This window comes from Homo sapiens, chromosome 5 (genome assembly GCF_000001405.40).
Source record: "Homo sapiens chromosome 5, GRCh38.p14 Primary Assembly".
Classification (NCBI taxonomy): domain Eukaryota; kingdom Metazoa; phylum Chordata; class Mammalia; order Primates; family Hominidae; genus Homo; species Homo sapiens.
In genome coordinates this window covers 37,309,643-37,333,045 of record NC_000005.10, presented here as the reverse complement: position 1 = coordinate 37,333,045, position 23,403 = coordinate 37,309,643, and the positions used below count along the sequence as shown (strand labels likewise).

The 23,403-nt window shown below is 39.8% G+C and overlaps 1 protein-coding gene and 1 pseudogene across 6 annotated transcripts in view, besides 1 other annotated feature; one reads left to right on the top strand and one right to left on the bottom strand.

Moving 5' to 3' along the window:
- Window positions 1–23,403, top strand: part of NUP155 (nucleoporin 155) — an 82,970-nt gene that overhangs the window by 38,061 nt on the left and 21,506 nt on the right. For 4 of the 6 annotated variants that reach the window (NM_153485.3, NM_004298.4, XM_047417934.1 and 1 more), the window contains exons 14-23: window positions 1,251–1,361; window positions 2,914–3,008; window positions 3,768–3,856; window positions 4,626–4,688; window positions 5,270–5,417; window positions 7,079–7,145; window positions 8,939–9,054; window positions 14,961–15,058; window positions 18,718–18,848; window positions 22,303–22,494. In NM_153485.3, coding sequence (NP_705618.1) covers window positions 1,251–1,361; window positions 2,914–3,008; window positions 3,768–3,856; window positions 4,626–4,688; window positions 5,270–5,417; window positions 7,079–7,145; window positions 8,939–9,054; window positions 14,961–15,058; window positions 18,718–18,848; window positions 22,303–22,494 — 1,110 coding nt within the window. Of the gene's footprint in view, window positions 1–1,250; window positions 1,362–2,913; window positions 3,009–3,767; window positions 3,857–4,625; window positions 4,689–5,269; window positions 5,418–7,078; window positions 7,146–8,938; window positions 9,055–14,960; window positions 15,059–18,717; window positions 18,849–22,302; window positions 22,495–23,403 lie in introns of those variants that run through there. The other 2 variants (NM_001278312.2, XM_047417935.1) reach the window with 2 other exon arrangements.
- Window positions 2,572–2,772: a silencer, noted in NCBI's record as "peak5230 fragment used in MPRA reporter construct". NCBI's record gives its function as "represses an SCP1 promoter by STARR-seq MPRAs in K562 erythroleukemia cells {active_cell/tissue: K562}" and the evidence as "EXISTENCE:reporter gene assay evidence [ECO:0000049][PMID:32103011]".
- RNU7-75P (RNA, U7 small nuclear 75 pseudogene) lies at window positions 5,851–5,911 on the bottom strand (annotated as a pseudogene).

The window sequence follows — 23,403 nt, the reverse complement described above, 5'->3', positions numbered from 1 at the left end:
ATTGAGATTTTTCCCAGGCACACAAGCTTATAATTAGTCAAAATTATCAGTTATCAGTTGATATTTTATTTTATTTATTTTATTTTATTTTAGACAAGGTCTTAATCTGTCACCCAGGCTGGAGTGTGGTGCACAGTCTTGGCTTACGGCAACCTCTGCCTCCCAGGCTCAAGGGATCCTCCCACATCAGCCTCCTGAGTAGCTGGGAATACAGGCGTTTGCCACCACACCCAGTTAATTTTTGTATTTTCTGTAGAGACAGGATCTCACTAAAGCCCAGGCTCGTCTCAAACTCTTGAGCTCAAGCTATCCACCCACCTCATCCTCCCACAGTGCTGAGATTACAGGCGAGAGCCAATCTGCCCAGCCATCATTTGAAATATGTCATAGTTGAAAAGCTTCCACTCACTAAGGTTTATAAAAGAATCCACTCTTAGTTGCTTTTGTTTATTGATTGGTGCAAAAACAATTGAGGTTTTTGCCATTGATTGTAATGGCAAAAACACCATCCTGGCTAACACAGTGAAACCCCGTCTTTACTAAAAATATAAAAAAATTTAGCCGGGCATGGTGGTGGGCGCCTGTAGTCACAGCTACTCGGGAGGCTGAGACAGGAGAATGGCATGAACCCGGGAGGCGGAGCTTGCAGTGAGCCGAGATTGCGCCACTGCACTCCAGCCTGGGAGACAGTACGAGACTCCGTCTAAAAAAAAAAAAAAAAAAAAAAAAAAAGCTGTAATGGCAGAAACCTCAATTGCTTTTGTACCAACGTAATATTATGATAGTTTTATTTTGTCCTTTAAGTCTTTTGATCTATTTGGAATTTACTCTGGTATAAGGTATGACTATGTTTCTAGCTTTTTTTTTTTTTTTTTTTGCCTAAATTGATATAAATAGTAGCAACATGATTAATTAATAATCTAACTTTAATTCTCTGGTTTAAGGGGCAGCTTTGCCGGGGCAATTGCATTAAGTTTTCTTTATAGATATATAGATCTACTGGAGGTTGAGTAGAGAAGTAGATGATCTTTTTGACCAGTTGTACTTTTTATATCACCTCAGCCATTCCTCCTGCCTCAGCCCCGTGATGTGCTGGAAATACAAATGTGGGCCACCATACCCAGCCTACTTTGTATTGTTGAATGGTTTTTTTTGTTTGTTTCATTTATTTTATCAAATAAGGTAGAGTCAGTTGCTATCAGCCAATCTTGGTAAATCTCTTGTTCATGTTCTTTCTTCAAATTTCTTAGGGGAGCCTTATGTTTCATAAACTTAGACCTGTAGATCAACTGAGGCATCTACTTGTGAGTAATGTGGGAGGAGATGGAGAAGAGATTGAAAGATTCTTTAAATTACATCAGGTAATTATATATACTTTTAAAAAATGTGATGCTATTTTAAACAAACAGTGGGAGTCATAGTTTATGTAAATTGGGACTGGAATACTGTAATAAATATATATATATATTTTGAGATGGAGTTTCGCTCTTGTTGCCCAGGCAGGAGTGCAATGGCGCAATCTTGGCTCACTGCAACCTCTGCCTCTCAGGTTCAAATGATTGTTCTGCCTCAGCCTCCCCAGTAGCTGGGATTACAGGCATGTGCCAGCACTCCCAACTAATTTTGTATTTTTAGTAGAGACAGAGTTTCTCCATGTTGGTCAGGCTGGTCTCGAACTCCCGACCTCAGGTGATCCGCCCACCTCGGCCTCCTAAAGTGCTGGGATTACAGGCCGTGAGCCACCAAGCCCAGCCATAAATAGATAATCTTAACAATATTCCTTTCTTTGCCTAAGTCACTGTATGTGAACTGACATTTGAAAGCAGGATTAATATGAGTCTTGTAGTGAGCTTTCAGATTTTTATTCTCTGTTGTTGATAAATTCTTTTTTTTTTTTGAGACAGAGTCTCGCTCTGTCGCCCAGGCTAGAGTGCAGTGGCGTGATCTCGGCTCACTCTAAGCTCCACCTCCCAGGTTCATTCCATTCTCCTGCCTCAGCCTCCCAAGTAGCTGGGACTACAGGACCCCCCCACCACGCCTGGCTAATTTTTTGTATTTTTAGTAGAGATGGGGTTTCATCATGTTAGCCAGGATGGTCTCGATCTCCTGACCTCATGATCCACCCGCCTCGGCCTGCCAAAGTGCTGGGATTACAGGCGTGAGCCACCATGCCTGGCCTGTTGTTGATAAATTCTTATTGAAGTCTGCTAGTAAGAGTTTCTTGTTCAGGTTATATGATAAATGCCTTTTCATTAAAAGCACAAGACATTTAGGGACAAGTTGTTTTTGGTTTGTTTGTTTGTTTGTTTGTTTGTTTTGGCTTAATGACCTGAGGAAGAAACCTGAGGCAACAGTGTAGAGATCTTAGTATTTCAGAGCCACAACTGGAATTGATACGGTTAAAATTGGGAGTAGTTCAAAGTTAAGTATACAGACTCTGGATTCAAAGCACCTGTGTTAAAAATCCCAGCTCCACCACTGAGGTAAATTACTTGACTTCTCTGGGCTTCAGTTTCCTTATACATTATAATAGGATGTGGTATGAGGATTAATATATGCTAAACTCTTAAAATAGTACCTGACACATGGTAGGTATTCAGTGTTACCACTTAATTGTTATTTTCTAGAAAGCAGAAAGACCACAGGAAGAAAATTGGAGACATAAGCCGGAAACTAAGTCAGAATCTAGGTTAAAAGGAAAAGAGAACATCCTGTAATCCTAGTGCTTATGATGAACTTAAAACCAGTAGTGTTTACTTGTCTTTTTAACACTAACTGATTTCATTCAGTCAGCAAGTATTTATTGAATGCCTGCTCTGTGCTAGATACAGACTTTAATACTGCATCTAGCAGTACACAAATCATTTTAAAATTTGTATTTAATATAAGGCCAATATTCCTCTTTTTACACAGGAAGACCAGGCTTGTGCAACTTGCCTTATTCTTGCTTGCTCCACTGCTGCCTGTGATAGAGAAGTATCTGCCTGGGCTACTCGGGCTTTCTTTAGGTATGTGAAAGTTTTTCTTGTTTATTTATTTGTTTTTTTACTGGGCCACTTTTTAAAATGATTTTATCAATGTGATAAAGCCTTGCCAAACAGTTGAGTGACTATGTAGGCAAATTACCAAAATTCATTTGCAAAAGGGTGAAATCTGGAGAGATTATAATGGTAATAGAAGCAAGTAAATTAGCATAGTTTATGCATTATTACTTTAACTCTGGATTCTGTTCTGTAACTTCTTGTCTACTTTCTACACTTTGTTCTACCTCAGTTACTGTCTCATCTATCTTTTTTACTTCCCCAAACACTATGCCAATTCTGCTTAATATGTATCATTAGTATTGAAGGCTTCTGAATTACTTTAAGGAAACTTGGTACCAAAGAGATATTTCTATTTAGAAAATATTTAAGAATTTGAAATGTGATTTTGTTAGAAACGTTTTTTGAAGTACTATCTAACCATAACCTAGTATGAAAATTACAATGCCATTTACTCACAAAGTAAATTCTATGCATTGCATATCTTTTTCTTAGAAGTTATCAGAGTCCCTTATAATTCTTCCTGGTAGCAGTTTCAAGTCCACATTTACTGAATAAATATTTATTATAAGTCTTATGCATATACTTTACTGTCAGCACAATACATTGAAGTCTCTAATGTTTAAAGCATTTACTTGGAAGCTAAACAGGAAAAGGAACAATTCCAGTTTTTAAGATGGATGGTTTGTTTTACTGAATAAACTCAACCTCTTGTCATAAAAATAGGTATGGTGGTGAAGCACAGATGAGATTTCCAACCACTCTTCCGCCTCCAAGTAATGTTGGTCCCATCTTGGGGTCTCCTGTCTATTCTAGTGAGTATGGAACATTGAAATGAAATTGTTTCTAATCGTTTGAATCTTAGAACCTTTATAGCAATTTTTATCAATAAGCCTTTTCATTATGTTTTATTTACTGCTATTGTATAATTGATGAATACATCTATAGATTCTGATTCTTAAAAGTGATCTATTAATATTGAATCCTTAATGTAAGGAAGCAAAATAAGATGTAACCAATCATATTTACATAACTCATTTGGTATATATTCAGAGGGAAACAGATGAATGATTTAATAATTAACTCGCACATCAGTGTTTTCCAAGGTGGGAGTTGTTAGAAACTTACTAGGAGATCAGTCCCTAATTCTTGCATATATCGTGGACAATGTAACTCCTTATGCTTAGAAATAGCTTCTGTGGCCAGGCACAATGGCTCACACCTGTAATCCCAGGACTTTGGGAGGCCGAGGCGGGCAGATCACCTGAGGTTGGGAGTTTGAGACTAGCCTGACCAATATGGTGAAACCATGTCTCTACTAAAAGTACAAAAAGTAGCCGGCCTGTGGTGGTGTGAGCCTGTAATCCCAGCTACTCAGGAGGCTGAGACGGGAGAATCGCTTGAACCCGGGAGACAGAGGTTGCAGTGAGCCGAGATCATGCCACTGCACTCCAGCCTGGGCCACAGAAAGAGACCCTGCCTCAAAAAAAGAAAAAGGAAATACCTTCTTTACCTAATTTTGATCACATTCAAAAGATTGAGATGTTCTTTTCTAAATCTTTATATTCTTCTTTCCCTTTTTAGGTTCTCCTGTTCCTAGTGGTAGTCCCTATCCAAATCCATCCTTTTTGGGAACACCGTCTCATGGTACCTCTTTTCTTTGTTTTGGATTGGATTCATTTTGAAGTGCTAACATTATGAGTTAACCTTAATGCTTAGTGTGAAAAAGATGAACTTGCCTTATTCCCTTGAAAATAAATATAATTTTAGAAGCGCTGTCCAAGCAAGTTTTGGCATTTGGATGTGAATGCCTTTATTTAGGAGGAACTCCTCTTATAATAAGCCTGGAAAGCCCATTATTTGGCTACCAGGATTAAATTGAACCCTAAAATCTGTGTAATCAGTTCTATTTCACTGTCAGCATTACAAGCAGTACTGGCAAGTTTGTTTCCTTTTCATTCTGCATTGTGAACACTTGCAAGTCTATCTGGGAGTACCCATCCACATTTAAATCTCTCTTCTTATTAAGGAAAACCAAGTTAAATATCTATGTATTTCATTGTTTTTGTAAATACCTTTGTGTCTAGATACACAAACTTGGGTTATGAGAATTCTGAATTTTATGGGTTCTAAGATTAAGAGATTTATGGGTTCTAAGATTAAGATTAAGAGATTTATGGGTTCTAAGATTAAGATTAAGAGATTTGTTTTTCTTATGTGTGTACAAGGTATACAGCCTCCTGCCATGTCAACTCCAGTGTGTGCTCTGGGAAACCCAGCAACTCAGGCCACAAATATGAGTTGTGTGACTGGACCAGAGATTGTGTACTCTGGAAAACACAATGGTATTTGCATTTACTTTTCTCGGATCATGGGGTAAGTTTGTCATGAAATAATGAATTATTGCTCACCTTGTCCCATCTTGAGTAGTTAAATATTTTTAACTCTGAATTTGGGACATCATTTATTCCTATTAAATTTTAGTTTTAGCTCACTTGTTGATCAATAAAACTTTTCTATTATTCCAGTTTTTGTTATCTAACTATATTCATTGCTGTGTTTTATTTCTCTTACTCTCTCATAATCTATTTTTGTAGCATCAAAATACAGTTGTTCCTTAACACAGGGGTTAGGGGATGCCAACCACCATTCCTCAACCTTCATGTAGTCAAAAATTCATGTACAACTTTTGACTTTCTTAATTACTAATAGCCTACTGTCTAGAAGCCTCACTGATAAGTAATCAATTAACACGTTTTGTATGTTTTTTGTGTTTTCTTTTTTTAACTTTTGCATGGTGTAGGAGTATGGGGGAGTCTCGTAAAAACCAGAAAACCTGCTAGACAAATTCTAAAACAGCCGTAACACTGATATTTTGTGTTATATGTGTTATACACTATATTCTTACCATAAAGTAAGCTAGAGAAAAAAAATTAAGAAAATCATAAGGAAGAGAAAATATATTTACTATTCATTAAGTGGCAATGGATCATCATAAAAGTCTTCATCCTTGTCTTCACGCTGAGTAGGCTGAGGAGTAGGAAGAGGAAGGGTTGGTTTTGATGTGCTGGGGTAGCATAGGTGGGAAAAAAATCTGTGTATAAGTGGACCCACACAATTCAAGCCCATATTGTTCAAAGGTCAACTGTATATCTACTTACATATGAATGTACAGTGTTACAAACTTCCCCATAACTCAGTGACATGTGTCTACAGTTCAACAGGGCAGTTCTTGTCTTGCTGGGCTAACTCAAGAATAGGCAATCAGTTGTGAAGTTAAAGAGAGCTATGCTTATCTTGGCTAGACTCTCACATGTTCAAGGTTATATTTTCCAGCTGGTCTAGAATGGCCCAAGATGAAACAGCTTGGTTGTTCTCTACATGGTTTCTCATCCCCCAGCAGGCCAGCCAAAGATTATTTAGTTGGTGGTGGCAGAGTTCCTTGAGAAAGAGTAGACACTTGCAAAACCTTTATTCTAAACTCAGAACTGGCTTACCATGCACTTTTCCGCCTTATTCACTTGGCCAGAGGGAAGTCACAGGGCCAACTCAGATTTAAAAGGTGGGAAATAGACCACCTTTTAGGGGAGAGACATCAAATCATACTGCAGAGGGGATAGATATAGGGAGGGATAAAGAAATGTGGTTGTTTTTGCAATCAGTCTATCATGTTATCTTAGTTAGCTATCATGCCTAATATATATTTCTCTTAGATTTGAGATGTATGATTTCATTCATCTCATTTGCTTAAAAGTATGAAACAGTACAGAGCCCCTTTATAAATTTCCTGTTTACAATTTATTATACAGAGCCTTTTGATTTTTCTTCAGTAATATTTCATTATCTGAAAAACTTAGGTACATCAGGTATGAAAATTTTCTAGTATTCCACTCTTCTAGATAGCTTAGTAAAATGTTAAATGAAACCACTGCAAGTTTTAAAAACTGAATAAAGCCATTAAGTTCCTAGAGAAAGAAATTTATTGTAATTGTTTTTATTCATTTACAGCACAATCATTAAAACTTTTTTTTTTCCAGAAACATTTGGGATGCAAGCTTAGTTGTGGAGAGAATATTCAAGAGTGGCAACAGAGAGATCACTGCAGTAAGTGTGTATAATATTATTTTGTTATTTTTGTGTAGCCAGTTGATGGTATAAATGGTTAGATTGTTTCACATTTCCTGATATTACACAAATAAGATGGCAAAGGTTATTTTTTTTTTTTTTTTTTTTTTTGAGACAGAGTCCTGCTCTGTCTCCCAGGCTGGAGTGCAGTGGCCCAGTCTCAGCTTACTGCAACCTCTGCCCTCTGGGGTCAAGCGATCCTCCCACCTCAGCCTCCTGAGTACCTGGGATTACAGGTGTGCGCCACCATGCCTGGCTAATTTTTGTAGTTTTTGTAGAGATAGGGTTTCACCATGTTGCCCAGGCCAGTCTCAAACTCCTAGACTCAAGCAAACCACCTGCCTTGGCTTCCCAAAGTGCTAAGATTACAGGCAGGGGGCCTCAGCGCCTGGCGGGTTATTCTTTTATGTATATGTTTGCATTCTTGGACAACAAACTGCTTACCTTCAGGTTTAAATCTCATCTCTAACATTGATTAACTGTCTGAATATGAGTAAATTACTTAACATTTCAGAGCCTGATACCTCATGGTAAAAGAAGGGGCGTAGTATATCTCCCTCATAAGGTTGTCATGAGGGATAACTCAAGCAACTTAATATTGCTCAAATTTTACTATGTAATACTTTGACATATATATGAACGAAAACTCCATGGACCCAGCACTAATTTCTATGAATTGGCATACTTTACAGACTGCTTTTTGCTCTTGTTGCCCAAGCTGGAGTGCAGTGGCACAGTTTCACTCTTGTTGCCCAAGCTGGTGTGCAATGGCATTATCTCGGCCCATCGTAACCCCTGCCTCCTGGGTTCAAGCGATTCTTCTGCCACAGCCTCACGAGTAGCTGGGATTACAGGTGCGCGCCACCATGCCCAGCTGATTTTTTGTATTTTTAGTAGAAACAGTGTTTTACTATGTTAGCCAGGCTGGTCTCGAACTCCTGACCTCAAATGATCCGCCCACCTCGGCCTCCACTGAGAATACAGGCGTGAGCCACCACGCCCAGTCCAAATATATTTTTAATTGTGAGGCTCTTAAAGTTCATGAGTTGGGCACAGTGGCCCGTGCCTGTAACCACAATGCTTTGGAAGGCTTGAGCCCAGGAGTTCAGGACCAGCCAGGGCAACGCGGCCAGATGCCTTTTCTATAAAATAAAATAAGATTAAAATTAGTCAGATATGTGGTGGCATGTGCTGGTACTTCCAGCTAATTGGGAAGGAGGGTCACTTGAACTTAGGAAGTCAAGGCTGCAGTAAGATATGATCCGCGCCACTACACTCCCAGGCAACAACAAGACGCTGTCTCTCAAAAAAAAAAAAGTTCAAGTTTCTAAGAATAAGAGTGTATTTGCCTAACACAGTATATGATTCCATATATATATATGGAAGTCTAAAAACTTGTAAAATTAATCTATGTTGATAGGAGTAAGAAAAGTAGTTACCTCAGAGGTGGGATGACTAATGGCTACAAAGGAACATAGGAAACTTTCTTTGGTGTTGGAAATTTCTGTATTGTGGTCTGGGTGATGACTATACAAAAATATATAAAAGTAATCAAGATGTTTTCTTAGTATTTGTATTTTATTGTATGTTAGTTATGCATCAGTGTTACTGGCAGGAGAGGAAGTGTGTAGGTATACTTTATTCGGATCAACAGGTGTGAATTGATACAAGAAATAACTATAGAGATACTCATTTCAAAATTAAAATTGTTTATATTATAGCTATACAGAGGGTGTGTTTTTAAACTTTTGAAAAATCTTTCATTTTTACAGATTGAAAGTAGTGTTCCCTGCCAACTGCTAGAGTCAGTGCTACAAGAACTAAAGGGTTTGCAGGAATTTCTAGACAGAAACTCCCAGTTTGCAGGAGGACCATTAGGAAATCCAAAGTAAGAATAAATAGGGTTTATTAATTCATCTTTTTCTTTTCGTTGTATTTTTTGTTGAGATGATTTACATACTACAAAGTTGGTCCTTTTAAAGTGTGCAGTTTAGTATTTTTTAGTGTATCTACAAGGTTATGCAACCATCACCACTATCTAATTTTAGAACATTTTCATCACAGCAATAAGAAACTCTTGTGCCCATGACCAGCCATTATTATTCATGGACCTTCCCCCAGTCCCTGGCAACCACTAATCTACTTTCTGTCTCCACAGATCTGCCTTTTCTGACTATTTATATAAATATTATATTTTATATATTACATAAGATACACAATATATAAATATATTATATGAATATATGTAAATGGAATGTTTATAGAAATATAGTTATATAAATGGAATATTTATAGAAATATAGTTATATAAATGGAATATAGAAATATTTATATGAATGGAATATTTATAGACATATTTATATACATGGAATCTTTATAGAAATATTTATATAAATGGAAGTATGCAACAGATAACCTTTGGTGTCTGTTTCTTTCCCCAAGCATGTTTTCAAGGTTTGATTGTTGTAGCATGTATTACTACTTGTCTCATTTCTCAGTTTATCAGTTGATAGATATTTGGGTTGTTTCAGCTTTTTGGCTAATAAGAATGCTGATATGAGCATTCCTGTACAAGTTTTTGTGTGGACATGTGTTTAGACGGACTCTTGCTCTGTCACCCGTGCTGGAGTACGAAGGCTCCAACTTGGCTCACAGCAACCTCCGCCTCCCAGGTTCAAGCAATTCTCCTGCCTCAGCCTCCCAAGTAGCTTAGATTACAGATGTGCACCACCATGCCCAGCTAATTCTTCTTTGTATTTTCAGCGGAGACGGGGTTTCACCATGTTGACCAGGCTGGTCTTGAACTCCTGACCTCATCATCCACTGGCCTCAGCCTCCCAAAGTTCTGGGATTACAGGCGTGAGCCACCATGCCCGACCAAGAGTGGACATTTGGGTTTTTTTTTTGAGACGGAGTTTCGCTCTTGTCGCCCAGGCTGGAGTGCAATGGTGCAATCTCGGCTCACTGCAACCTCCACCTCCTAGGTTCAAGCGATTCTCCTGCCTCAGCCTCCTGAGTAGCTGGGGTTACAGGCGCCTGCCACCATGCCCAGCTAATTTTTCTATTTGTAGTAGAAATGGAGTTTCACTATGTTGGCCAGGCTGGTCTCAAACTCCTGACCACCTTCAGGTGATCCACCATGCCCAGCAATAATGGATTTTTTTTTTTTTTTTGAGACAGAGTCTCGCTCTGTCGCCCAGCCTGGAGTGCAGTGGTGCGGTCTCAGCTCACTGCAACCTCCGCCTCCCGGGTTCATGCCATTCTCCTGCCTCAGCCTCCCGAGTAGCTGGGACTACAGGCGCTTGCCACCACACCCAGCTAATTCTTTGTATTTTTAGTAGAGACTGGGTTTCACCGTGTTAGCCAGGATGGTCTCGATCTCCTGACCTCGTGATCCGCCCGCCTCGGCCTCCCAAAGTGCTGAGATTACAGGCGTGAGCCACCGCGCCCAGCCAAGAATGGATATTTTTAAGCCTCTAATATAATACGGACTTTTTGTTGAAAAATAATAATCACATGGCATTGGGGGAGTCACATCACTCCTTAGAATTGTTAACGAGGTATTACAGTATAATCTTTTTAAAGCATATGTAGGCCAGGCAGAGTGGCTCACACCTATAATCCCAACACTTTGGAAAGCCAAGGCAGGAGGATTGCTTGAAGCCAGGAGTTCGAGACCAGCCTGGGCAATATAGGAGACCTTGTCACTACAAAAACACATAAATAGGCCGGGCGTGATGGCTGATGCCTGTAATCCCAGTACTTTGGGAGGCTGAGGCAGGCGGATCACCTGAGGTCGGGATTTCAAGACCAGCCTGACCAACATGGAAAAACCCGTCTCTACTAAAAATACAAAACTAGCCAGGTGTGGTGGCACATGCCTGTAATCCCAGCTACTAGCTAGGCTGAGGCAGGCGAATCACTTAAACCTGGGAGGCGGAGGTTGCGGTGAGCCCAGATCGTGCCATTGCACTCCAGCCTGGGCAACAAGAGTGAAACTCTGTCTCAAAAAAAAATATCATAAATAAATAATAAAGCATACATAAATATACACTTCTTTAAAAGCAAAAACAGAGTCTAAGTAAGTACACTTTTATATAACATTATTCATACTTTGTGTGTGTGTGTGTATACATATATATATATATTCCCCTGCCCCTGCCGAGGCAGAGTCTTGCTCTGTTGCCCAGGCTGGAGTGCAGTGGTGCAATCTCAGCTCACTGCAACCTCTGCCTCCTGGGCTCAAGCAGTTCTTCTGCCTCAGCCTCCCGAGTAGCTGGGATTACATGCATGTGCCACCAAGCCTGGCTAATTTTTGTATTTTTAGTAGAGATGGGGTTTCACCATGTTGCCCAGGATGGTCTCGATCTCTTGACTTCGTGCTCCGCCCGCCTCAGCCTCCCAAAGTGCTGGGATTACAGGGGTGAGCCACCGCGCCTGGCCTGTCTTTATCTTTTAAGCAGGAGAATTTACCTCCTTCCCATTTTATTGGAATTAGTTAAATGTGGTTTATTGTTTTGGTTTGGTTTTTTTGGAGACAGAGTCTTGCTTTGTCGCCCAGGCTGCAATGCAGTGGTGCAATCTCAGCTCACTGCAACCTCCAACTCCCTGGCTCAAGCGATTCTCCTGCCTCACCCTTCCAAGTAGCTGAGACTACAGCCCCACACCACCATGCCTGGCTAATTTTTCTATTTGTAGCAGAGACAGGGTTTTGCCATGTTGGCAAGGCTGATCTTGAACTCTTGACCTCAGATAATCCACCTTCAGCCTCCCAAAGTTCTGGGATTACAGGAGTGAGCCACTGCATCTGGTCTAGTTAAATGTTTGATTTTTTTCTCCCCATCCTGAATTTGTGCTTTTTGTTTATTTTCTTCCCTTTCCCATTTCCTTATTGTATTGGATTGATCAGGCCTCTCTCTACCTTAAACACCAATTAAGAAGTTCTACATATGATTTTTCTTCCTCTGTTAGTCTTAAATTCTGACAGACATGCATCTCAGTCAGCATTAATAATTTAACAAACTCTATTACATTTTGTTTCCTTGCCTTCTACTGCCATCCCTCTCCCTCCAAATTATCTGGAATTTTACTTGTCAGATGTTTTTAGTTTGTTTGGTTTTTTTTCTAACATTATGGTCTTTTGTTAATTGAATTTTACCATTACATCTGCAATTATATGTAAATTTTCTAATCTACTTCTAATTTCTCTTAATTACTCATTTATCTTTACAGTTTTTAGCAGGATGTTTTTTTCATTGATGTTTCTTGAATTGTCACAGAAGCAGTTCTGTCATCTGCAAACAGAGATAGTTTCATCTTTTCCATCTTTTCTTGTCTAGCTCTACTTGCTTTCTCCTCTCTGCACAAGGTAATCTCTCTCTCTCTCTTTTTCTTTTTAATTGAGACAGAGTTTCACTCTTATTACCTAGGCTGGAGTGCGATGGCATGATCCTCGGCTCACCGCAACCTCCGCCTCCCGGGTTCAAGCGATGCTCCTGCCTCAGCCTCCTGAGTAGCTGGGATTACAGGCATGAGCCACCACGCCCAGCTAATTTTGTATTTTTAGTAGAGACGGGGTTTCTCCTTGTTGGTCAGGCTGGTCTCAATCTCCCAACCTCAGGTTATCCACCCGCCTCAGCCTCCCAAAGTGCTGGGATTACAGGCATGAGCCGCTGCGCCCTGCCACTTATCTCTGTCTGTCTTTTCTCTTTTTTTTTCTTTTTTAGGCAATCTTGCTCTGTCATTGAGGCTGGAGTGCAGTGATGTGATCATTATTCCCTGCAATCTCAGACTCAGCCGCCTGAGTAGCTGGGGCTACAGGCATGTGCTGCCACACCTGGCTGATTTTTTCTTATTTTTCTCAGAGATAGGGTCTCACTGTGTTGCCCAGGCTGGTCTAAAACTCTTGGCCTCAAGTTATGCTCCCTCCTTAGCTTCCCAAAGTGCTGGGATTACAGGCATGACCCACTGCATCCACCCTTACTTGAGGTGTTTTTTGGTTTTCTTTTTTGAGACTGGTCTCACTCTGTTGCCCAGGCCGGAGTGCAGTGGCATGATCACGGCTCACCGCAACTTTGACCTCCCAGCTTCAAGTGATCCTCCCACCTCAGCCTCCTGAGTAGTTGGGACTACAGGCACATGCTACCATGCTCAGCTAATTTTTTTATTTCACATTTTGTAGAGACAAGTTCTCACTGTTTTGCCCACGTTGATCTTGCACTCCTGGGCTTAGGTGATCCTCCTGTCTTGGCCTCAAAAAATGCTGGGATTTTAGGCATGAGCCATCCGCACTCAGCCCTTATTGAATATGTTTAACATATTCATATATTTAACATATTGAATATGCTTACCATATTCAATAAGTGAGTTTGTCAAATGTATTTACTGCATTTTACAGAGATGATCATATCATTTTCCCCCTTACCTTTAACAATAGAGTTAATACATGTCCTAATTTCGACCAACCCTTGGATTCCTATAACATTAGTTTCATTGACTATGGAAATTTTTTAAACAGATTTTTGAGATCTACTTTACATACCACTAAATTTACTCATTTTGAATGTTCAGTTCAGTGACTTTTAGTAAATTCATAGAATTGTGCAACCATCACCACAGTCCAGTTTTAGCACACTTCCATTATCTAGGAGACATACCTCATGTCCATTAGCAGTCACTTTCCATTCCCACTTCTTAGCCCCAGACACTTACTGATCTGCTCTATCTCTGTAGATGTGCCTATTCTTGACATGTCATATAAACAGAATCATACTGTGTGGTCTTTGAGTCTGGCTTCTTTCACTTAGTGTGTTTTGGGGGCTCATGTTTGAGATTTATGTGGTAGGATGTATTCATGCTTTGTTCGTTTTTATTGCCCAATGAATGTGGGATTTTAAGATCATAGACCATTTCTCAGATCTTCGTATACATTTTGCACCATTTTCTTCCCAAAGTTTAATGTTGTAGATGAAAAAGTACATTATCTGTATGATTCTCCTTCCTTTGTAAGTGACTTAGTGTTTACTTTGAAATTTTTTTGTGTTTTTTTCTTTTTGTTACCGAAATTCAAAAGTCACATGATGTCTTTAGGTATATCTTCTTTACAGCTCTCAGTGAGCCTTAAGAATGAACGTCTTGGCTTTGATCAGTTTTCTTCTCTCGTTTTTTATGTATTGTGATACACATTGAATATCCCTTATCCGAACTGTTTGGAACCAGAAGTGTTTTGGCTTTCACGTTTTTTTTGATTTTTAAATATTTGCATTATACTTAGGTTGAGCACCCCATTCCGAAAATTTGAAATCGAAATTGCTCCAGTGCGCATTTCCTTTGAGCATCATGCTGATGTGCAAAACGTTTCAGATTTGGGGACATTTCAGATGTTAGTTTTTTTTTTTATTAGGGATACTCAATCTATGTTTCTTCTGTCCCATTCTCTTTGGAGAATCATATTAACTCTTTTGTATCTAGCTTGTTTCTTCTCTTCCGTAATTTCCTTCCTTCCTTTCTCTCCTTTACCCCCTCTTTTTACTTGATCTTTTTTTTTCTACAGGTTAGGAAAATTTATAGCTGATGTTCTCAGTCATTTAATTGATTTAATCTCAGTCATTTTAAGTAGCATCTGTTTAGTCTGTGTCATAAATTTTTTCTGGCCATCAGCCCTTCTGGTGTTGGTTGCCCAACCTTCTGAATTATTTAAAAAAAGTAAACATATTAAATGTTTGAATTGTACTGTATGTGTTATATCTCAATAAAGCTGTTATAAACACACACATTCTGCAATTTCTGTTTCAGTACTACTGCTAAAGTGCAGCAGAGGCTGATAGGATTCATGCGTCCTGAAAACGGAAATCCCCAGCAAATGCAACAGGAACTGCAGAGGAAGTTTCATGGTAAATTATTGCTTCTCATCAGTTAAGCGTACATGACCTCAGTAAAATTTTATTACTTGAATAGAAAACAATGGACTTTCTTAGTAAGATGTACTTTGTACACAAATATTTGTAATTAAAATATCAGTGTAATTGGGTCCGGGGTGGTGGCTCACACCTGTAATACCAGCACTTTGGAAGGCTGAGTTGGGAGGATCACCTCTTCCTGGGAGGCAGAGGTTGCAGTGAGCTGAGATCATGCCACTGCACTCCAGCCTGGGTGACAGAGTGAGAACCTGCCTCAAAAAAAAAAAAAAAAAGTGTGATTGGGAAAGTAGGATAATATGGATATTAATATGGATATTGTATATTTCCCTATCTCTTTTAGCATATACATTTTTGTTCCTTCCTCCACCAGAAAACATGATACACACCTATTTCATTATGTTTTTTTTATTGTGGTGAAATATATATATACCATAAAATTTACCATTTTTACTTTTTATTTGTTTATGTTTCTGAGACAGAGTTTCACTCTTGTTTCCCAGGCTGGAGTGCAATGGCGTGATCTTGGCTCACTGCAACCTCTGCCTCCTGGGTTCAAGAAATTCTTCTGCCTCAGCCTCCCGAGTAGCTGGGATTAGAGGCATGTGCCACCACGCCCGGCTAATTTTGTATTTTCAGAAGAGACGGGGTTCTTTATGTTGGTCAGGCTGGTCTCGAACTTCCAACCTCAGGTGATCCCGTCCGCCTCGGCCTCCCAAAGTGCTGGGATTACAGATGTGAGCCACCGTGCCCAGCCCCATTTTTACTTTATTTTATTTATTTATTTATTTTTTTGAGACAGAGTCTCACTCTGTCGCCCAGGCTGGAGTGCAGTGGCATGATCTCGGCTCACTGCAAGCTCCACCTCCCGGGTTCACTCCATTCTCCTGCCTCAGCCTTCTGAGTAGCTGGGACTACAGGCGCCCGCCACCACACCTGGCTAATTTTTTTTTTTTGTATTTTTAGTAGAGACAGGGTTTCACCGTGTTTAAGCAGGATGATCTCAATCTCCTGACCTCATGATCCGCCCACCTCAGCCTCCCAAAGTGCTGGGATTACAGGCAAGAGCCACTGCGCCTGGCCCGTTTTTACTGTTTTTAAGTGTACAGTTCAGTGGCATTCAGTATATTCATTTTATGTACCCATTACCAGCATCTATCTCCAGAACTTTTGTCATCTTCCCCAAAAATGTCACTCTGGGCTGGGCGCAGTGGCTCTCACCTGTAATCCCAGCACTTTGGGAGGCCATGGCAGGTGGATCACCTGAGGTCAGGAGTTCAAGACCAGCCTGGCCAACATGTTGAAACCCCATCTCTACCAAAAATACAAAAATTAGCCAGGCGTGGTGGCGGGCACCTGTAATCCCAGCTGCTCGGGAGGCCGAGGCAAGAGAATCACTTGAACCCAGCAGGCGGAGGTTGCAGTGAGCCGAATTTGTGCCATTGCACCCTAGCCTGGGCAACAAGAGCAAGACTCTGTCTTAAAAAAAATAAACACCAAAAGTCACTCTGTACCCATGAAATAATAACCCCCCATTTTTTTCCCCTATCCTAGGTCCCTGGCAACCACCATTCTACTTTCTGTCTCTTGAATTTTACAACTCTGGGTACCCTATTAGGATGAAATCAAATTTTACATTTTGTGGCAGGCTTATGTCACTTAGCATACTGTCCTCGAGGTTCATCCATGTTGTAACGTGTCAGAATTTCCTTCCTTTTTAAGACTGAGTAATTTCTATTGTGTATATGTGCATATGTGCACATATACCACATTTCCTTTATCCATTCATCTGTTGATGGACACTGAGTTACTTCCGTTTTTTGGCTATCGTGAATAATGCTGCTATTAACATGGGTGAACAAATACAAATTAAAGCCTCTGCTTTCAGTTCTTTTGGGTATATACCCAGAAGTGGAATTGCTATATCATATGGTAATTCTATTACTAATTTTTTTGATGAACTGCCATACTGTTTCATAGCAGCTACTGCATTTTATGTTTATGTTTATCTTTATTTCTTTTTGAGACGGAGTTTCACTCTTGTCTCCCAGGCTGGAGTGCAATGGTGCGATCTCAGCTCACTGCAGCCTCCACCTCCCAGGTTCAAGCAATTCTGCCTCAGCCTCCCGAGTAGCTGTGGTTACAGGCATGTGTCACCACACCCAGCTAATTTTTTTATTTTTAGTATAGTTGGGGTTTCACCATGTTGGCCAGGCTGGTCTTGAACTCCTGACCTCAGGTGATCCACCCACTTCGGCCTCCCAAAGTGGTAGGATTACAGGCGTGAGCCACTGCGCCTGGCCAGCCACAGCATTTTATACTTCTAGTAGCAATGCACAAGGGTTCCAATTTCTTCACATCTTTGCCAACATTTGTCATTTTTCTGTCCTTTTATATATAGCCATCCTAATGAACATGGAATGGCATCTCATTGGGATTTTGATTTGCATTTCCCTAATGATTAGTAATATGCCTTTTTATAGAGCTAAAAATATGAATCAAATATTTCATTGTGCTTTTTATCAATTATAAGTAGTAACAAGTAAGGAAAGAGCAAGGCAACTGAAAAGTTCTCATAATCTTCAGTTATTCCAGATACAAGTTAGAACAATAATAAGTTATTGCATGAACTTTTTGTGCCATTTAATTTTTTCTAAGTTCTTTTGCCTTCCATTGTTAGGGTTAGAGTTACTTTTTCTGGCCGTGATAGAACTTTCTGGTTTGTTTGTTTTGAGATGGAGTCTCGCTTTTTCGCCGAGGCTGGAGTGCATTGGCACAATCTTGGCTTACTGCAACCTCTACCTCCCAGGTCCAAGCGATTCTCCTGCCTCAGCCTCTCAAGTAGCTGGGATCACAGGCGTGTGCCACCACACCCATCTAGTTTTTGTGTTTTCAGTAGAGATGAGGTTTTGCCACTTTGGCCAGGCCGGTCTTGAACTCATGACCTCAGGTGATCCGCCCAACTCGGCCTCCCAAAGTGCTGGGATTACTTGCGTGAGCCACCACGCCTGGCCAGTAGAACTTTCTCAGTTAACACTCAACCATTTACTTTTGTCCCAAGTTACTTTCTTCCCTACTGAGGACCCTAGGTTTCTATTCATCATTTTGTAAATTCTTTTTTACTATCTTTTAAATTTTTTGTCTCTCTTTTATTTTTTTGGAGATGGAGTCTTGCTCTGTCGCCCAGGCTCCGCCTCCTGGGTTCACGCCATTCTCCTGCCTCAGCCTCCCAAGTAGCTGGGACTACAGGCACCCGCCATCCCCCCCACCAGCTAATTTTTTATGTTTTTAGTAGAGACCGAGTTTTACCGTGTTAGCCAGGACGGTCTCGATCTCCTGACCTCATGATCCACCTGCCTCGGCCTCCCAAAGTGCTGGGATTACAGGCGTGAGCCACCGCGCCCAGCCACACAGCAATATTTTCATGGTTTATGTGTACCTACACAAACACAGAAGCATATATATATACACACACGGAGAAGATAATAACATAAATACTACTGATTATCATGGTTGCCTGTAATGGGGGCTAGGAAGAAAACAACAGGGATTTCAACCTTAACTACAGTTTTTATTTGAAATAAAGCAACTTAACCTATGTTATTTTATAATAATTTATTTTGTTTTCTCATTAGAGGCTCAACTAAGTGAAAAGATTTCACTTCAGGCAATTCAGCAGTTGGTTCGAAAATCATATCAGGCTCTGGCTTTATGGAAACTTCTTTGTGAACATCAATTCACTATCATTGTGGCAGAACTTCAGAAGGTAATTTTTTTTATTTTTTTATGATTATACCATTAATACTATGTTTGGATTTTTTGGATGAGTATTTTGGCTTTGGAGGGGATTATTTTGGGAAGCATTTAAGTTATGATGAAGTTAGTATGTTATGGGAAGATGGCACAAAAAAAGCGTACCAACTTGGGGGACCTATTTTTTCAAAGCCGCAAGTTTTTACTTGTGGGTATGTGAATGAAGTCATACTTTACAAAACATATTTTTTAAAACAGTGGACTTTACCCTTTATTTGAGCTACAGGTTCTTCTGAGAATCTGATAAAAGCTATCTCTCACTACCCTTAAAGAAATGCATATCGACATGGACACACAGACTTTTGCTTATAATTTCAAAGGGCCCAACAACCTAAATTAAATACTCTTGACTGGGCACCATGCCTCACGCCTGTGATCCCAACACTTTGGTAGGCTGAGGCAGGAGGATCACTTGAGCCTAGGAATTCAAGACTATCCTGGGCAAGATGTCAGGACCCATCTCTACTAAAAATAAAAAATAAATTAGTCAAGTGTGGTGGCACATGCCTGTAGTCCCAGCTACTTGGGAGGCTGAAGTGGGAGGAGCACTTGAGCCTGGGAGGTTGAGGCGCCACTTAGCCATGATGGTGCCACTGCACCCCAGCCTGGGTGACAGAGTGAGACCCTGTCTCTCTCTGTCTCTCTCACACACACACACACACACACACACACACACATATACACCACTCCTACTTCATTTTATGTTTTCTTTTTTTTTTTTTTAAGAGATGGAGTCTCACTCTGTCGCCCAGGCTGCAGTTGTGCAATCTCGGCTCGCTGCAACCTCCACCTCCCGGGTTCTAGCAATTCTCCTGCCTCAGCCTCCTGAGTAGCTGGGATTACAGGTGCATGCCACCACGCCCAGCTAATTTTTTGTATTTTAGTAGAGACGGGGTTTCACCGTGTTGCCCAGGGTGATCTCGAACTCCTGAGCTCAGGTAATCCACCCGCCTCAGCCACCCAAAATGCTAGGATTACAGACGTGACCCACCATGCCCGGCAACTGCTCCTACTTTAAAGGAAGATATTTATCACTGTAGGAAATAAATGGTTCATATTTCTTTTGATGTTCACATTTGAATCCTTTCTAAGGATAAGGATAATCAACATTAATCTAAATGTTAGATAGAATATATAGAGGAAATTTATTCCTACCTTTTATTTAATTGTGAGCATTTCTAAACGTATACAAAAGTAGAGCAAAAACTGTAACTCCCATATACATTTGACTCATTCAGCATTTTCAAGATACTGTGTTTCTAAAAAAAATAGACAGTTCCTTGAACAACAACAATGTCATGATCAGTTACCAGTTTTTCTTGAGACAGTGTCTCGCTCTGTCACCCAGGCTGGAGTGCAGTGGCATGATCACGGCTCACTGCACCCTTGACCTCTCTGGACTCCAGTGATTCTCCTACTTTAGCCTCCCGAGTAGCTGGTACTATAGGCACGCACCACTACGCCTAGCTAATTTTTGTATTTTTTTGTGGAGATGGGGTTTCACCGTATCTCCTAGGCTGGATAGTTACCAATATTAACTGTCAATATTTGATAGCAAAATCTGTCTTAAAAATGTCTTTTTACAGATTGGTTCATTCAAATCAGGATCTAAACAGTTTAAGGGGTTTGCTCATGGAATTTGTTTTTCTCTTTCATCTGTTTCAGTCTAAAGCAGTCTTTCCTTCTTTTTCTTTTCCTTGCTGTTGCCTTGTAGAAATCCAGTCATCCATCCAGTAGAATGTCCAGCATTCTAAGGACATTCTAAGGCTTTTTTTTTTTTAATCCTCTTTGTAGCGAGCTTCTTCCTCTATCTCCTGCATTTTCTATAAAATGAAAGTTTATTATATAGGCTTGATTCAGTTCAGGTCCTTTTTTGAGGAAGAATAGAATACTTCATAGGTAGTGGTTTATTCATCAGACTGTTAGAAGATACAAAAGGTTTCGTTGTCCTTCTTTTAGTTATACTAAGATAAATTGCTGGATTCAAGTAGTAAGCCTAATACTGCCATTGTGGAATTCTCCATCAGATTTTAATCATCCATTGATAATCATTGCTGGAATTTATTATTTCATTTAGGATTACAAAAGGGTAATATTTATTTATTTGTTTGTTTGTTTTTTATTTTTTTTGAGACAGTGTCTCATTCTGTCACCCAGGCTGGAGTGCTGTGGAGCAATCTGAGATCACTGTAACCTCCACCTCCCGGGTACAAGCAGTTCTCCTGCCTCAGCTTCCCGAGTAGCTGGGACTACAGGCATGTGCCACAACGCCTGGCTGATTTTTGTAGTTTTAGTAAGAGACCGGGTTTCGCCATGTTGGCCAGGCTGGTGTTGAACTCCTGACGTCAGGTGATCTACCTGCCTTGGCCTCCCAAAGTGCTGGGATTACAGGCATGAGCCACCATGCCCGGCCAAAAGGATAATATTTTAAATCTGTGATTCCTTCCCCAGTTACTAGCTGCAATTCTGTAAAAAAAAAAAAAAAAATTCTTTTTCCTTGTCCTGTATGGATATTTCATTACTCTGAAACACTTACTTTTTGACTCTCGTATACCATTTTTCAACGTTGGAAGGCAGTCTCCTCATTCTTTCCACTAGTGTCCAATGAATAGTGTGGCTTTTGTTGGTGGTTTTGTTTCTTTTAAATACATACTGTTTTTTATTTTTAAAAATTCAAGCTAATATATTTAATTATGAAACTTATCTTTTTCATACCAAGTAGAATAATAATTTTGAGTTTTATAGAGTGATAAATATATTGTAGGTAGGTTTTTATCCTGGGTATGTTTTTGTGATCCATCTTCAAAGCTCTCTTCCTTACATCACCAATGGCATGCTCAATGAATGCAAATTAAAGATTTGTTCAAGAATTTTAACACAGTTTGGGTATTTCCTTGAATTTAGAAAAAAGAGATAGCAGTCACATCACTAACAGAATCTTTTACTATAGTATAAATCAATACTTTAGAGCTTCATTTGGACAAGCAGATTTGTTCACAATACAGATTAAACTCCAATATTATTATAAGGCCTAGAATAATGGAATTCTAACAGTGTTTAGGAAGGAGTAATATGTAAGCCCAAGATTTTCAAATATAGCCAAGTGATTGTTTTTTCCATTTTATAACCAAAGCCAGGAGATCTGACTCTAGTTTTGGCTCTACTTAAGCTTTACTTTTCTCATTTGGAAAGTGAGAGTTTTGGACTAGATCTACTGTAGGTTCTTTTCCAACTCTCTATGATTTTATGTAAGTTCGCAAAAATTTGTTTCTACTAATTAGTATATTTTCGCTTTTCAATTATAGAGTCTATTAATATTTAGGTTATTTTAATTTATTAAAATAATTTCATTATGTTTAGAAATATGGTATTTCTATAATTGTGATAGAAAAGTTTTATGCTCCTAGGAACTTCAAGAGCAGCTGAAGATCACCACCTTTAAAGATCTTGTAATCAGGGACAAAGAACTCACAGGGGCATTAATTGCTTCTCTTATCAACTGCTACATCAGAGATAATGCCGCTGTTGATGGCATTAGTTTACATTTACAGGATATCTGCCCACTTCTATATAGCACTGATGATGCAATTTGTTCTAAGGTATGATACTTTATTACCTATTTCATTGTTTGTTATAAGAGGTATCATGTATGATGAACCATCTTGTTTCACTTAATATAGGACCTCAGTCAGTTAGATCTCTTAACCTCTCCTAGCCTCAGAATCCTCATCTAAGAAAGGGGTTGGAATATGTGGCTTCTTAAAACCAGTGTATACTCTTTTAAGCTTAGCTTTTCTTTTTAAAAATATTTTTATTTATTTATTTGACACAGGGTTTCACTCTGTTGCTTAGGCTGTAGTGCAGTGCTGTGATCATAGCTCACAGCAGCTTCTAAGTCCTAGACTCAAGCAGGCCTCTCATGTAGCTAGGGGCTACGGGTGTGCACCACTACACCCAGCCAATTTTTTTGTTTTTTATAGAGACAAGTTCTGATTTGTTGCACAGGCTGGTCTTGAACTCTTGGCTTCAAGTGATCCTCCTGCCTCAGCCTCCCATAGTGCTGGGATTATAAGTGTGAGCCACCATGCCCAGCCCTCCTTTAAGTTTTTCATAAAGAATATTCTCTCTTTTTTTTTAAGACTGAGTACGATCTCAGCTCACTGCAACCTCCACCTCCCAGGTTCAAGTGATTCTCCTGCCTCGGCCTCCCAAATAGCTGGGATTACAGGTGTGCACCATCACACCTGGCTAATTTTTTATATTTTTGGTAGAGACAGGATTTCACCATGTTGTCTAGGCTGGTTTTGAACTCCTGACCTCCGCCTGCCTCAGCCTTGCAAAGTGTTGGGATTATAGACATGAGCCTCTGCGCCTGGCCCATAAAGAATCTTTGATAGTGTTTCTAGGCCATATTAAAAAACCAAAGGTGAGAAATTAAGAAAAATCACTAAATTTAGAAATTAAGGAAATTTAGGGGATAATTTATCTCCTTAGCTTAAGGAAAAGTA